This window comes from Homo sapiens, chromosome 6 (genome assembly GCF_000001405.40).
Source record: "Homo sapiens chromosome 6, GRCh38.p14 Primary Assembly".
In the NCBI taxonomy this organism is placed as follows: Eukaryota; Metazoa; Chordata; class Mammalia; order Primates; family Hominidae; genus Homo; species Homo sapiens.
In genome coordinates, this window is record NC_000006.12 from 149,535,874 (window position 1) to 149,551,115 (window position 15,242).

General features: G+C 43.6%; 1 protein-coding gene across 1 annotated transcript in view, besides 2 other annotated features; it reads right to left on the bottom strand.

Moving 5' to 3' along the window:
- The window catches only part of PPIL4 (peptidylprolyl isomerase like 4), a 41,549-nt gene extending 31,379 nt beyond the window's left edge, over positions 1-10,170 (bottom strand). The window contains exons 1-4 of the mRNA NM_139126.4: positions 10,063-10,170; positions 5,646-5,713; positions 5,494-5,558; positions 5,069-5,186 (exon numbers count right to left, since the gene is read on the bottom strand). Of these exons, the coding sequence (NP_624311.1) occupies positions 5,069-5,186; positions 5,494-5,558; positions 5,646-5,713; positions 10,063-10,132 (321 nt within the window). The 5' untranslated portion in view covers positions 10,133-10,170. The remainder of the gene's footprint in view (positions 1-5,068; positions 5,187-5,493; positions 5,559-5,645; positions 5,714-10,062) is intronic.
- Positions 10,060-10,359: an enhancer, noted in NCBI's record as "active region_25262". NCBI's record gives its function as "activates an Ori minimal core promoter by ATAC-STARR-seq in GM12878 lymphoblastoid cells {active_cell/tissue: GM12878}" and the evidence as "EXISTENCE:reporter gene assay evidence [ECO:0000049][PMID:35858748]".
- Positions 11,063-11,739: an enhancer, noted in NCBI's record as "H3K27ac-H3K4me1 hESC enhancer chr6:149868072-149868748 (GRCh37/hg19 assembly coordinates)". NCBI's record gives its function as "activates a minimal SCP1, AML or CMV promoter by ChIP-STARR-seq in primed H9 embryonic stem cells {active_cell/tissue: H9 hESC(primed)}" and the evidence as "EXISTENCE:reporter gene assay evidence [ECO:0000049][PMID:30033119]".

Sequence of the window (15,242 nt, forward strand, 5' to 3'; positions counted from 1 at the left end):
AAAACTAAGTAAAAAGTACAAAGCTTATACTGGCATACCTCATTTTATTGCACTTTGCAGATACTGCATTTTTTACAATTAAGGATTTCTGGCAACCGTGTATTGAGTAAGTCTATTGGTGCCATTTTCCCAACAGCATAGGCTCACTTCATGTTTCTGGCTCACATTTTGGTGATTCTCACAAGATTTCAAACTTTTTCATTACTATTGTATCTGTTATTACCATCTATAATCTTTGATCTTACTACCGCAATTGTTTTGGGGCACCACAAACTGTGCCCATATAAGATGGTGAACTTAATCCATAAATGTTGTATGTGTTCTGACTACTCCACCAACCAGCCATTCCCATCTTTCTCCCTCTCAGTGCTCCCTATTCCCCGAGACACAATACTGAAATGAGGCCAATTAACCCTACAAGAGACTCTTAAGTGTTCAAGTAAAAGGAAGAATGGCACATCTCTTACTTTAAATCAAAAGCTAAAAATGATTAAGCATAGTGAGAAAGGCACGTTGAAAGCCAAGATAAGCGGAAAGCTAGGCCTCTAGTACCAAACAATAGCTGAGTTGTAAATGCAAAGGAAAAGTTCTTAAAGAAAATTAGAAGTGCTATTCCAGTGAACACATGAATGATAAAATGAAACAGGCTTACTGCTGATATGAAGAAGGTTTTAGTAATCTACATAGGTCAAACCAGCCACAACGATCCCTTAAGCCAAAGCCTAATTCCAAACAAGCCCTAACTTTATTCAATTCTATAAAGGCTGAGAGAGGGAAGGTAGCTGCAAAAGAAAGTCTGAAGCTAGCAGAGGTTAATTCATGAAGTTTAAGGAAAGAGGCCAGGCGCAGTGAATTACTCCATCTCAAAAAAAAAAAAAAAAGAAAAGAAAAATTTAAGGAAAGAAGCTGTCTCCATAATTTAAAAGTGCAAGGTGAAGCAGCAAGTGCTGACACAGAAGCTACAGCAAGTGGCCAGGTGCAGTGGCTCACGCCTATGTAATCCCAGCACTTTAGGAGGCCGAGGCAGGCAGATCACAAGCTCAGGAGTTCAAGACCAGCCTGACCAACATGGTGAAACCCTGTCTCCACTAAAAATACAAAAGTTAGCCAGGCATGGTGGCGTGTGCCTGTAATCCCAGCTACTCAGGAGGCTGAGGCAGGAGAATTGCTTGAACCCAGGAGGCGAAGGTTGCAGTGAGCTGAGATCATGCCACTGCACTCCAGCCTGGGCAACAGAGTGAGAATCTGTCTCAAAAAAAAAAAAAAAAGAAGCTGCAGCATGCATCAAGTTATCTGGAAGATCTAGCTAAGATCACTGATGAAGATGACTTCATGAAATAACAAATTTTCCATGAAGACGAAACAGCCTTATATTGGAAGATGCCACTTAGGACTTTCACAGCTAGAGAGGAAAAGTCAATGCCTAGCTTCAAAGCTTCAAAGACAAGCTGACTCTTCTGTTACATGCTAATCCAGCTGGTGACTTTAAGTTGAAACCAATGCTCACTGACTATACCAAAAATCCCAAGGCCGTTAAGAATGATGCTAAATCGGCCGGGCGCGGTGGCTCACGCCTGTAATCCCAGCACTTTGGGAGGCCGAGGCGGGTGGATCACGAGGTCAGGAGATCAAGACCATCCTGGCTAACACGGTGAAACCCCGTCTCTACTAAAAATACAAAAAATTAGCCGGGCGTGGTGGCAGGCGCCTGTAGTCCCAGCTACTTGGGAGGCTGAGGCAGGAGAATGGCGTGAATCTGGAGGTGGAGCTTGCAGTGAGCAGAGATTGCGCCACTGCACTCCAGCCTGGGCGACAGAGCAAGACTCCATCTCAAAAAAAAAAAAAGAATGATGCTAAATCTATTCTGCCTGTGCTCTAGAAATGGAACAACAAAGCTTGGATGACAGCACATCTGTTTACAGCAGGGTTTATCAAATATTTTAAGATCACTGTTGAGACCTGCCGCTCAGAACAAAGATCCTTTTAAATATGACTGCTCTTTTAATAAGAAATCCTTTTAAAATATTACTGCTCATTGACAATACTCCAGGTCACCCAGGAGCTCTGATGGATATGATGTACAAGGAAATTAATATTGTTTTCAGCTGTGCACAGTGACTGACACCTGTAAACCCAGCACTTTGGGAGGCTGAGGCAGGTGGATCACTTGAGGCCAGTTCAAGACCAGCCTGGCCAACACAGTCAACATGGTGAAACCCCATTTCTACTATAAATACAAAAAATCAGCCGGGCGTAGTGGTGCACACCTGTAATCCCAGCTACTCAGAAGGCTGAGGCAAGAGAACTGTTTGAACCCAGGAGGCAGAGGTTGCAGTGAGGTGAGACTGCACCACTGTACTCAACCTGGGTGACAGAGTGAGAATCTGTCTCAAAAAAAAAAAAATACTGTTTTCATGCCTGCTAACATAACAGTCATTCTGCAGCCATGGATCGAAGAGTAATTTCAACTTTCAAGTATTACTATTTAAGAAATACAGCCTGACATGTGGCATGCACCTGTAGTCCCAGCTACTCAGGAGGCTGAGGTAGAAGGATCACTTGAGCAACGTAGTGAGGCCCCATCTCTAAAAATAAAAATTAAAAAAAAATACATTTTGTGAGGCTATAGCTGCCATAGATGGTGATTCCTCTGATGGATATGGGCAAGTACATTGAAAACCTTCTGAAAAAGATTCACCATTCTAGATGTCATTAAGAACATTCGTGATTTGTGGGAGGAGGTCAAAATATCAACATTAACAGAAGTTAAGAAGAAGTAGATTCCAACCCTCATGGATGACTTTGAGTGGCTCAAGACTTCAGTGAAGGAAGTAACTGCAAATGTGGTGGAAACTGCAAGAGAACGAGAATTAGAAGTAGAGCCTGAAGATGGGACTGAATGCTGCAATCTCATGATCAAACCTGACCAGATATGGAGCTCCTTCTTAAGGATGAGCAAACAAAGTGGTTTTCTTCCTTTTTTTTTTTTGTTTGAGACAGTCTTGCTGCATCGCCCAGGCTGGAGTGCAGTGGTGCAAAGTCGGCTCACCGCAACCTCCACCTCCCAGGTTCAAGCAATTCTCCTGTCTCAGCCTCCCAAGTAGCTGGGACTACTGGCGCCTGCCACCACGCCGAGCTAATTTTTGTATTTTTAGTAGAGACGGGGTTTCACCATACTGGTCAGGCTGGTCACAAACTCCTGACCTCAGGTGATCCGCCCCCCTCAGCCTCCCAAAGTGGTGGGACTACAGGCATGAGCCACTGCACCCAGCCAAGTGATTTACTGAGATGGAATCTACTGCTGGTGAAGATGCTATGATAACTGTTGAAATGACAACAAAAGGTTTAGGATAGTACATAAACTTGGCTGATACAGTAGTAGCAGGGTCTGAGAGGATTGACTTCAATCTTAAAAGAATTCTACTAAATGCTATCCAACAGCATCGTATGATACACAGAAATCTTTCATGAAAGGAAGAGTCCATCAACATGGCAGACTTCTGTTGTCTTATTTATTTATTTATTTGCAAGACAAGGTCTGTCACCCAAGCTGGAGTGCAGTGGTACAATCACAGCTCACTGCACCCTTGACCTCCTGGGCTCTAGTGATCCTCCCACCTCAGCTTCCCAAGAAGCAGGAACTACAGCCCTGTACCACCATGCTCAGCTAATTTTTGTATTTTTTTGTGGAGATGGGGTTTTCACCATGTTTCCTGGGCTGGTCTCGAAATCCTGAGCTCAACCCATCTGCCTGCCTTGCCCCCGCAAAGTACTGGGATTACAGATGTATGCTACCACGCCAGTCAGTTGTCTTATTTTAAGAAGCTGCCACAGTCACCCCAACCTTCAGCAATCACCACCCAGATTAGTCAACGGCCATCAACATCAAGGCAAGACCCTTCACCAGCAAAAAGATTATGATTTACTGAAGGCTCAGATGATCAGAAGCACTTGTTAGTAATAAAGTATTTTTTGGTCGGCCACGGTGGCTCACACCTGTAATCCCAGCACTTTGGGAGGCCAAGGCAGGTGGATCACCTGGGGTCAAGAGTTTGAGACCAGCCTGGCCAACATGGCAAAACCCTGTCTCTACGAAAAATACAGAAAGTAGCCGAGCGTGGTGGTGGGCATCTGTAATCCCGCTACTCGGGAGGCTGAGGCAGGAGAATCGCTTGAACCTGAGAGGCGGAGGTTGCAGTGAGCCGAGATCACACCACTGCACTCCAGCCTGGCTGACAGAGCAAGACTCTGTCTCTAAATAAATAAAATAAAATAAAATAAAACAAAATACTTAGACAAGCCATGACTCAACTTCATGTGTATATAGTAGAAAACAGAAGTACCTACTCTAACAAGTAGGTCATTGGGAGAATTAACAGGGTCATTGGGAGAATTAAACAAGACAATGAATAGAAGGTACTCTGCGTAATGTTTTTAAAAAAGTAAGAAATACTGAAAAACGGCCAGGCGCGGTGGCTCACGCCTGTAATCCCAGCACTTTGGGAGGCCAAGGCAGGCGGATCATGAGGTCACGTGATTGAGACCATCGTGGCCAACATGGTGAAACCCCGTCTCTACTAAAAATATAAAAATTAGCCAGGTGTTGTGGCAGGCGCATGTAATCCCAGCTATTCGGAAGGCCGAGGCAGGAGAATTGCTTGAACCCGGGAGGGAGAGGTTGCAGTGAGCCGAGGATTGTGCCATCGCACTCCAGTCTGGGAGACAGAGTGAGACTACATCTCATAAAAATAAATTAATTAATTAAATAAAAAGAAATACTGAAAAATGAGCCACAAATGTGAACAGTGATAATCACGGATGGTGGAGTTGTAGGTAATGTTTTTCTTTGTACTTTTCTGTATTTTCTCAATTCTTCACAATAGGAATGCTTTACATTTAAAAGAAGAAAATAATATTTTTTAATATAGAAAAAGTGCATTTTTTCCCCTAACACATATTTCTGATTGAAACCCTCTAAGCCTTACTGGATAGTTTAAAAAATAACTCTGTGGGCTCCTTCCAGTCCTTCATTTCTAAGCAAATCTCATATTCTTACTCATTTCCTAACCTGAGATCCATGTTGATCACTGCCATTATTCACCATGGACACTGTGCCTTTCTTCTTGTGCTTAATTCTTGGGACTTTTTCTGCCTCAAAAAAGCTTGCTTGATCACCATACAGTTGGCTGAAAAAACATATAAGGTTATAAATGTAAGTACTCTCAAAATGAAATACAGAAGTACTAGTAACATACAGGGTTATCAATTATTTCTTTACAGAAATGCCAACAGAATTCAAAATATTACTTTTTTTTTTTTAGGGAACTTGGGGGAAAAAATCTAAATTTAAACCATATTTTAAAATGCAGATTGAAGCATGAGCAATTATATTTTTCCTCATTTAAGAATAAAAGAATTTGTTCTGCCCTTCCAGAGGTTAAAAGTAAATAAATAAATAAATAAATAAATAAATAAATAAATAAAACAACTTACCCAAAGATAGACTCTCCTCCACGGCCAGTCCCTGTAGGATCGCCAGTTTGTATGATAAAATCCCTCTGTAATATGTAGGATTCTTTGTTAATTCACAGAGTTTGTTAGATAGTTCCAATAACAAAGGAAATGACTAATATCTACCAACTCACCTGTACATTGTGAATAAGGCAATAATTGTAATATTTTATTTTGCACAGTTTCAAGAAATTCAAGCAGGCTGAAAGAAAGTAAATACCAAATTTATCACAGTAATCCACAAACACATTTTTAAATAAGTAAAGCCACAGTAAAATGTAATTTCTAAATTACTATTAAAAGAAAAAAAAAGTCAAATGTCCAAAGCTATAAAAAAGGGCAATAGGCCGGGCGCTGGCTCACACCTGTAATCGCAGCGCTTTGGGAGGCGGAGGTGAGTGGATCACTTGAAGTCAGGAGTTTGAGACCAGCCTGGCCAATATGGTGAAACCCTGTCTCAACTAAAAATACCAAAAAAAATTAGCCAGGCATGGTGGCGGGCACCTGTAATCCCAGCTACTAGGGAGGCTGAGGCAGGAGAATCACTTGAACCCAGGAGGTGGAGGTTGCAGTGAACCAAGATCGCACCACTGCACTCCAGTCTGGGCAATAGAGCAAGACTCTATCTCAAAATAAAATAAAATAAAATAAAATAAAAGGGCAATAAGTCTAGAAAAAAAACATTTTAAATTACCTTTTTTTTTCCTTTAATAGGAGTTTTGGGGCATCTGGGCTAATACAGAAAACTGACACTTATAAGCAATCATTTACTGATGGATTGATTTTATTACGAGAAAAAAGAACACTTAAAGAGCATATTGTAGTAGAAAAGGATCTAGCAGAATATATAAAAATGGATACGGATTATATCAATTAGGAAAAAGTCAAACACCCGGGGTCATTTTTTAAATAATAGTTAAACAGCCCTTTATAAAAATCCATACACTTATGAACAACCTTTCTCATACAAGTTAATCTGCTTATCCAATAAACATTTACTGAGTACCTTCTAGATGCCTGACACTGCCATCACAAATGCCATTAAACTGTGGTCCCTGCTCCCAAAAAGTTCACAGTCTAGTCGTGGAAAGACACATTAACAAGCTCTTAAGGCACTAAGTTAGAAACCAAACAGACAGTAAGATATATGAGGCAATCCCTGCCCTCAAAAAGCTTACATTAAATTAGGGTCCTTACATCTGAACACAAGTAGTTACATACTGGGCATATCTAATTAATAACATGTGTGCCACTTATTTAAAATGGTAAAAAAAGTAGTTTTAAAAATTCCACAAGAGTTCAAAAGATTGTTTCTGGCTAGGGAAATTAGAAAACCTCAGGGAAGGTTAAGGCAAGCATTAAAAGAACTGGACTAGCAGAGAGTGAAGGGTGAGCATTTTAGGTCTGGAAGACTATGAAAAGGCCTGGAAGTGGAAATTTAAATGTTTTAGGGGAGGTCCAAAACACCAAAGTTCTGTAATAGTCTGGTATTACACAGTAATAGAGCATGAAAAGACTGGAGAGATAAGATGGGGCTGAGCTGTTGAAGAGTGCTGAATATCAGTCTTGCAGTTGTTTTTCTTGAATATATTTCTGGGCTTCATGTTTAACAGATAGGGGTGGTCCTTTTACTAGAAACAAAAATAATGAATTTAGGCAATGATCATCAATGGCTGCCAAAATCTTTAGGTCTTTCATCAAAATCCGATGGGAACAATTTATAAGCGCAACAAGGCCTTAACCCACTGACCAATTTTAACATCACAGAGCCAACCAGACATCAAGTGCCTCCTGAATGTGATGCAGCTGAAAGTACACACTATCTTATATGAAATATTCTTGCCAAAAACATTAAACTGGAACCTAATCAAGGCTCTGAAGCTAAAGAACAATTTATAGGAAACAGGGGACACAAAAATATGTTAACGCACCCAGTAAATAATCAGTCGAATCCAAACAAGAGAAATTCTACAAGACAAAGCACCCAGGTTGTTTCTCAAAATTTTTTCAAGGAAAAAAGGGGGAGAACCAATAGATTAAAACATATATGAGACATTTTAACCAATATATGGACTTTGGGTCCTAATTTAAATCACCATATTTTTTAGAAGTTTATGAGATAATAAGAAAGTTTAAATGATACTAAAAATTATTGCTAGTTTTTTCAAAGTGTGATAAGATCTGTGGTTCTGTTTTTTTATTCTTTTTTACAACTTTTTCTCTTTCCTTTAGTATTTTTCCCTTTTCCCTGTCAAGTTTTTTTTCTTTTTTAACCTGTCACTTATGTGGTACTTAAGCTCATAGTTCCATTTTTTCTTGTTTTTTTTAAAGAGACGTTATATTTTAGAAATACATACTGAAGTAATTACAGATTAAATAGATGCACTGGAGGTGGGGGTATTATAAATGAAGCAAGATTGGCTATGTGTTCACAGCTGTTAAACAAAGCTGGTCATGTGGACATGAGAGTTCATTTACATGATTCTCTCTACATCTGTGTTTTAAATTTTCTATAATAAAAAGTTAAAAAAGAAAAGGAAGAAAGAATGGAAGGTAGGTAAGTCTGGATATGTTGATCATAGATTGATAAGTGAGTATAAATATAGCAGGTACACATGTAAGCACATCTCCAGTCATATGCTTACAAATATGTACAGGGGGTGGACTTATTGTTATGGGCTTATCTTTGCAGACCCACTGCTTGTTAATTGGGTGGGGTAGCTCTACACCCCTTTATTTCCTCATAACTCTGGGAAAAGAGGCCCATTTATTTTGCCAGGTGCTACTCTACATGGGCAGAGCGTCAAAGGAACTCAAAGAAAAGCAAAATCAAGAGATAAAAAACAAAATTCCCTATGATATTCTTTGAAACACTCGATCCAGCCACTCGATCCAAGCTTACCCCAGTATTATGAGGCAACCAATTATTTTGTTTATGCCAGTTTGAGTTGGGTTTCTATCACTTGAACAAAGGGTCCTAACTAATACAACACATTTATATCCATTAGTCATCATAATGAACCTCTAGTGTGTGCCCTAAAAGTAGCAGACATTGTACTGGGTACTCAGGATATAGAGATGATAATTATGGTATAGTTCCTGCTCTCATTGGAGTTTACATTCTTGAGCGAGGGCACGCTTGTAAACAACACCAGGATAATAGGTAAATGTTAAAATAAAATGTGTCATGTGGTTTATAAAAGACCTAAGACACAGCAGAGGAACCCTCAGGTAACTCTGCTTAGAAAGGAGGGAGAGCTTCAAAGAAGAGATGATGCTTGATCTGAGATTTAGATAATAAGTAGTAAGTTTGCCAGAAGGACAATAGTGGAGAAGAATATTGTTTAGAAGAAACAGCAAAAGAATGGTAACAATGGTACGGGAGAGTTTGTAGTGTTTTCGCCAGGTGGAGAGGAGGGAGGAATAGCTGCGTGCGAGGGAAAGCGGAGCACGGCAGGAGGTAGTTATTGTACAATATTGCAACTTATTTCACCTTCTTTGATAGGCTCTGCATTCCATGTGGGTAGGACCCTGTTTGTAACTAATCTCTCCTGGTCTCAGTTTCTTCCTGACTCTGATACATTCTCCACACCGCTGCCTATTATCTTCTCAAAACAAGTATGCCATGCCTCAATCCTGCTTTTAAAGTCTTCAAGGACTCTGATCATCAGTAGGGCACACAAGACTATTCACGACTGACCTAGGCGTATCTGACCACACTCGAGTCTACCATTCCACGACTCACACCAGTCCTTCCAGCCACACCAAACTACTTGCCGTTTCCAGAAAATTCCAAACAAAGAAAGTCCAAGCTAAGAAAACCCTCATTCCCATTCATCTTTGAAAGAACTAGTTCAAGTGTTCTATATAGTATTCGCTAGCTTTGCTTCTTCCCACCCCCCACCAAAGAAGCCGCCCTCTTCTGGTTTCCGTGGCAACTTACACATTCTTCTACCATAACACATAGAAAACTAAAATGGGTTCCTGTGTCTACTTCCCCCAGTGGAAAAATCAGACCCTCGGGGGCAAGAAGCCAAGCCCAGGACTTAGCCCAGTGCCTCGAAGGCTCAGTCCACACTCCAGACAACCTCTTCCTCCTCCACCTAAGCGGTATGCCCACACTCGCTGCGCCAAGCACACCCTAACTGCCTTCATCAAGATTTAACCGATTACACACCAAGCAATAGTTCCTATGTTCCTCTCACGAGTAAACACAATAAAGGCACAAAAGCTATGGGTATTGTATGTGCAGCTCGAATCACACACACACACGCCCCACACACACACTCCCAAAGGCAATTAATGACCGCAAGCACCGTCCACCGGACTGGCCAACACAAAATACGGGAGAAGGGCTGCCAAGGCTCAAACGAATTCCCGTCACAAAAACTTTTCTAGCCAAGGCCGGTTAATAAAATAGCCCAGTCGCGGGCACCAGCAGCCCAGAAGCTCGAGCTCTAGCCAATCTCTGCCCTGGACTGCGCAGAGAAGGGAAAGTAGGGAGACAAGCTCGGGGGCCCCGGCGACAGGTGAGTGGGGCTCAAGCCTCACCACGCGGCCGTTCTTCGGTGTACAAGTCGATGACGACGTCGCCTAAAGTGGTCTCCAGTAGAACCGCCATGGCGCCCGCTCCTCCTCCGCTACAAACCCCGGGAGGAGGGGGGTGACAGGCGCAGGCCGACGGCGTCGTCTACGCCACGCGTCACCCTCGGCGCGACCCCTTTTGCGTCATCTCGCCGGCGCCGCCCCCGGTTCCGAGCAGTTCCTTCCGGTCGGCGTGCGGGCGCCGGGCTGCCCAGCTGACTTACGGATCGGGTTGGTCCCGCCCCCGGCGCGGCCGTTTTGAAAATCCTGGTCCGCCCTTGGCGATTTTGGTGGAAGCCTGTCCCTCAGAACGGTCTCAGTATAGTGTTTTGTGCCCCGTTTGTGTCCGTCTCAAGAGCAGAGCGGCCCTCCGCGCGGCCCTTTTATCCACCAGGGGGCGCCCGCGGCGGGATCTTCTCTCCACCTATTTGGGCGGACTCCTCCGGGTTTCCTCGTCAGTCTCCTTTTCGCAAAACAACTTTGGGCCTCTACTAGGGGTTTCCGATTCTAAGAACTAACATTTTGTTTTGTTTTCTGTTTTGAGACAGGGTCTCGCTCTGTTGCCCAGGCTGGAGTGCAGTGGCGCGATGTCGGCTCACTGCAACCTCCACCTCCCGGGCTCCAGCGATTTTCCTGTCTCAGCCTCCCAAGTGACCACAGGCGCGCGCCACCACGCCCGGCTAATTTTGTTCTTTTATTTTTTGTAGAGATGGCGGTCGGGGGAGGTGGTCTCACTATGTTGCTCAGACTGGTCTCAAACTCCTGAGCTCAAGGAGTTCGAACTCTTCCCGCCTTGGCCTCCCGAAGTGCTGAGATTACTGGCGTGAGCCACTGCGCCTGGCCAAAACTAACATTTTGCCATGCAAGTTTATTCCCCAGACACTCTTCTGGGCAAGCCTGTCACTCTTTCTTATGACATTTTACACATAATCTCCAATAACTTCACATCTGACGAAAAGCCAAAGCTTTTTTTTTTTTTTTTTTTTTTGAGACGGAGTCTCGCTCTGTCGCCCAGTCTAGAGTGCAGTGGCGCGATCTCGGCTCACTGCAAGCTCCGCCTCCCGGGTTCACCCCATTCTCCTGCCTCCGCCTCCCGAGTTGCTGGGGCTACAGGTGTCCGCCATCACGCCCGGCTAATTTTTTGTGTTTTTAGTAGAGACCGGGTTTCACCGTGTTAGCCAGGATGGTCTCGACCTCCTGACCTCGTGGATCCGCCCGCCTCCGCCTCCCAAAGTGCTGGGATTACAGGCTTGAGCCACCGCACCTGGCGGAAAAGCCAGAGCTTTTATAATGATTTACAAGATCCTCTCCTACCCCATCCTACGCCATCTTCTTATTCCTCTGAAGCCACAGTAGACAGTTTGCTATTCCCTGAACACTGCTGACATACTCCTGCCCCATGGCCTTTTCACTTGCCTTGGTTGAGGGACCTCTTCCTCCAGTTATTTGTATGGCTCCCATTCACCTCCTTCAGGCGCTTTGGCGTCGGTCACCCTGTCAGTGAGGCCCTCCATGGCTGCCATAATTAAAATTAACCCCACAGACACTTCTTTTTCTCCATATAGCTTTTTCTCCAGAGTACATTTTACAATCTAACATGCTATTTACGAATTTGTTTGTTTGTTTATTGTTACTAGAATGTGTGTTCCAGGATATTCCATCTTGTCTGTTTTGTTTAAAGCTATATCCCTAATGCGTATGACAGCCTGGTACACAATGTGCAAATAAATGTTTGTTGAATGAATAAATATGGTTTTTCGGTTTGGGTTTTTTTTTTTTTTTTTGAGACGGAGTCTCGATCTGTTGCCCAGGCTTGAGTGCAGTGGTGCGATTTCAGGTCACTACAACCTCCGCCTCCTGGGTTCAAGCGATTCTCCTGCCTCAGCCTCCCCAGTAGCTGGGGCTACAGGTGCCCGCCACAGCGACTGCCACCACAATATTCATGGCTGGGCGTGGTGGCTCATGCCTGTAATCCCAGCACTTTGGGAGGCCGAGGTGGGCGGATCACCTGAGGTCAGGAATTTGAGACCAGCCGGGCCCATCATGGTGAAACCCCGTCTCTAATAAAAAATACAAAAAAAAAAAAAAAAACTAGCTGGGTGTGGTAGCGCATGCCTGTAATCCCAGCTACCCAGGAGGCTGAGGCAGGAGAACTGCTTGAACACGGAAGGTGGAGGTTGCAGTGAGCCGGGATTGCGCCACTGCACTCCAGCCTGGGTGACAGAGCGAGACTCCGTCTCGAGGAAAAAAAAAAAAAAGAAAGTGCTCCCATACCATGTTCCATTTATGCCTGATATGTGTTTAAGGGTTAAAAGTAAAGCCAACAAAGGGAATCCTAAGACTGTGAGTTCTGGGTCATTGTAAGGTTCCTCAGTGCTGTTGAACTGAGCAAACCATTTAGGACAGACCCAACAATTAGTCTTGTTGTAGAAATGGGCCATGGCGGATATTGTAGGAGCTAAAGGGTGTGACGTATTACTAAGTCCCATAAAAAATCCTAACAGACCTAGTGATAGTAAAACACTCATGTTTACTGTTGGTTAATAACTGTTATTCCTGCTGTAAGGATAGTAATTAAGCAAAATGCTACAGTAATTGAGATTCTGTTCGATATTACACCCTGAGGGTGCTATAGTATATAGTAATACTTGGCTTAAAAGGAGAGGTAGAAACGGCAAAAAGTATTTGGTGAGGTAGAGGCGAGACTAAGGTGAGTGGTTCTTACTCCGTTACTTATCTTTTGTGATTTTCAGCTTATGGTCTCCTACTTCTTCGCATTGATATTCAGGTCATTTCTCTGGGCTGTCAGGGGTTGCTCCCTCAGCTTTCCAGGCTTTGACTCGAGTGTGATGTATCCAAAAGTTGATTCCTGTAACTTTTATTGCTGAGGGAGTTGAAAGAATGGTGTAAGGCCCTTCCCAGCTTGGGCTTAGGAAGAGAGAGAAGGGAGAGCCTTCACCAGTACCAAATCTCCTGGGTTAAATAGAGGTGGTCCAATTTCCTGGGGTTGGGGCTTTGCTAATTGTGCTAATTCCTGTTGCAAGTGAGCCAGAGAAGTTACCTGCTTGACTAGCTCAGAGGTTTCTTGATCTAATAGAAAATCATTGGTAAAGAAAGGTCATCCATACAGCATCTCAAAAGGGCTAAGACGAAGTTTTGAAGGGGTACTTTTTATTCGTAGTAAGGCCATAAGAAGAAGAGTGACCCAAGGAAGGTGAGTTTCTTGGGTTAATTTTCTGATGTGTCTCTTGATCATATCATTAGTTTTCTCTACCTTTCCTGAGGATGCGGGTCTTCAAGCACAGTGGAGATGGTATTCTATGCCTAGTGCTTTTGAGACCCCCTTGTGTGACAGCTGCCTTAAATGAGGGTCCATTGTCATTTTGAAGATACCTAGGTAGACCAAAGCGGGGAGTTATTTCATTAACTAACAAACACTTTTATTACCTCAGAGGCTTTTTCTGTACGGCATGGGAATGCCTCTACCCAGTTAGTGAAGGTGTCTGACCATACCAGCAGGTATTGGATGCCCTTTGTCTTCGGCATGTGGGTGAAGTCTATTTGGCAGTCTTCTCCTGGATAACCTCCTATTCTTTGGGGTTGAGGAGGAAGGAGTCGCCTGTTAAGGATTATTTTTAAGACAGACTTCACAAGCATTAACAACCTCCTTAACTGTTTTTAGTAAGTTATCTCCTGAAAACAATCTCTGGGCACATTGATATGTCTTATCCTTTCCCAGGTGAAAAGCTTGGTGAAGGACTTCAAGGACTTTCCATTGGCTAGAGGCTGGCAAGTGGAGCTTGCCATCCTCCGACTGTCACCATCCTGAGGGCCGAAATGTATACCCTCAAGAAGTGGCCCATTCTGCTTCTGTAGGGGAGTACTGAGGTTTAATTCCTCTGATGGAGCCTTCCCACACTAGAGGAGTTTGAAGTGTTAATGTCTTGAGGCTTTCTTGCCGCTGACTTAGCTGCCTGATCAGCTAATCTGTTTCCTTCAGCTACCTCATCTGTTCCCTTTTGATGTCCCCTACAATGCATTACTGCGATTTCTCATGGAAGGAAAACTGAGGATAGTAATGTATTAATTTCCTGGTGATATTTTATAGGGGATCCATTGGTGGTAAGAAAACGCCTTTCCAGGCCGGGCATGGTGGCTCACGCCTATAATCCCAGCACTTTGGGAGGCCGAGACGGGCAGATCACGAGGTCAGGAGTTCGAGACCAGCCTGGCCAACATGGTGAAATTCCGTCTCTACTAAAAATACAAAAATTAGCTGGGCATGGTGGCAGGTGCATGTAATCCCAGCTACTTGGGAGGCTGAAGCAGGAGAATCACTTGAACCTGGGAGGCAGAGGTTGCAGTGAGCTGAGATCGCGCCATTGCACTCCAGCCTGGGCAACAAGAGCAAAAGTCCATCTCAAAAAAAAGAAAAGAAAATGCCTTTCCTTCCAAATGGTCGCATGAGCATGGAAAACTAGGAAAGCATACTTGGAGTCAGTGTAAATATTAGCTACCTTACCTTTGCTTAATTCAATTGCTCTTGTAAGAGCTATTAGCTCAGCTAATTGAGCGCTTGTGCCTGGAGGAAGAGACACACTTTCAATAGAATCAAATTCAATAGAATCAAATAGTGGCTAGATTGAGGCTAGAACAAGTCTTTAATTGGATGTGGGAACCCTCTAACAACAGGGCCTGATATTTAAGCCAATGGAGTTGTGTTCCCAGGGGGATTATGGCTGCCTCCTTCCTTGGAGCAGGTAGTCAATGACTACTGTGCATCCTGCCTTGCGGATCCCTTGTTCTATAAAGAGCTCCCATCTGTGAAGAGGGTCCAGTCTGGCTTCTCTAGGGGAGTTTCCCTGAGTTCCTCCCTGGCTGCATAGGTTTGTACTATGACTTGTTCACAGTTATGTTCAGGTTCCCCAGTTTCCTCAGGGAGGAAGGTGGCTGGATTTAGGTTAGAACAAGTCTTTAATTGGATGTGGGAACCCTCTAACAGCAGGGCCTGATATTTAAGGAGTCAGCTCTCTGTTAGCCAAAGCCTTACTCTAGAGTACAGTAGTCCTGCCACATTATGTGGGGTGTAAACAGTTAAATCATTCCCCAGGGTTAGTTTGGAGGCTTCTGGGACCAGCAGAGCCACC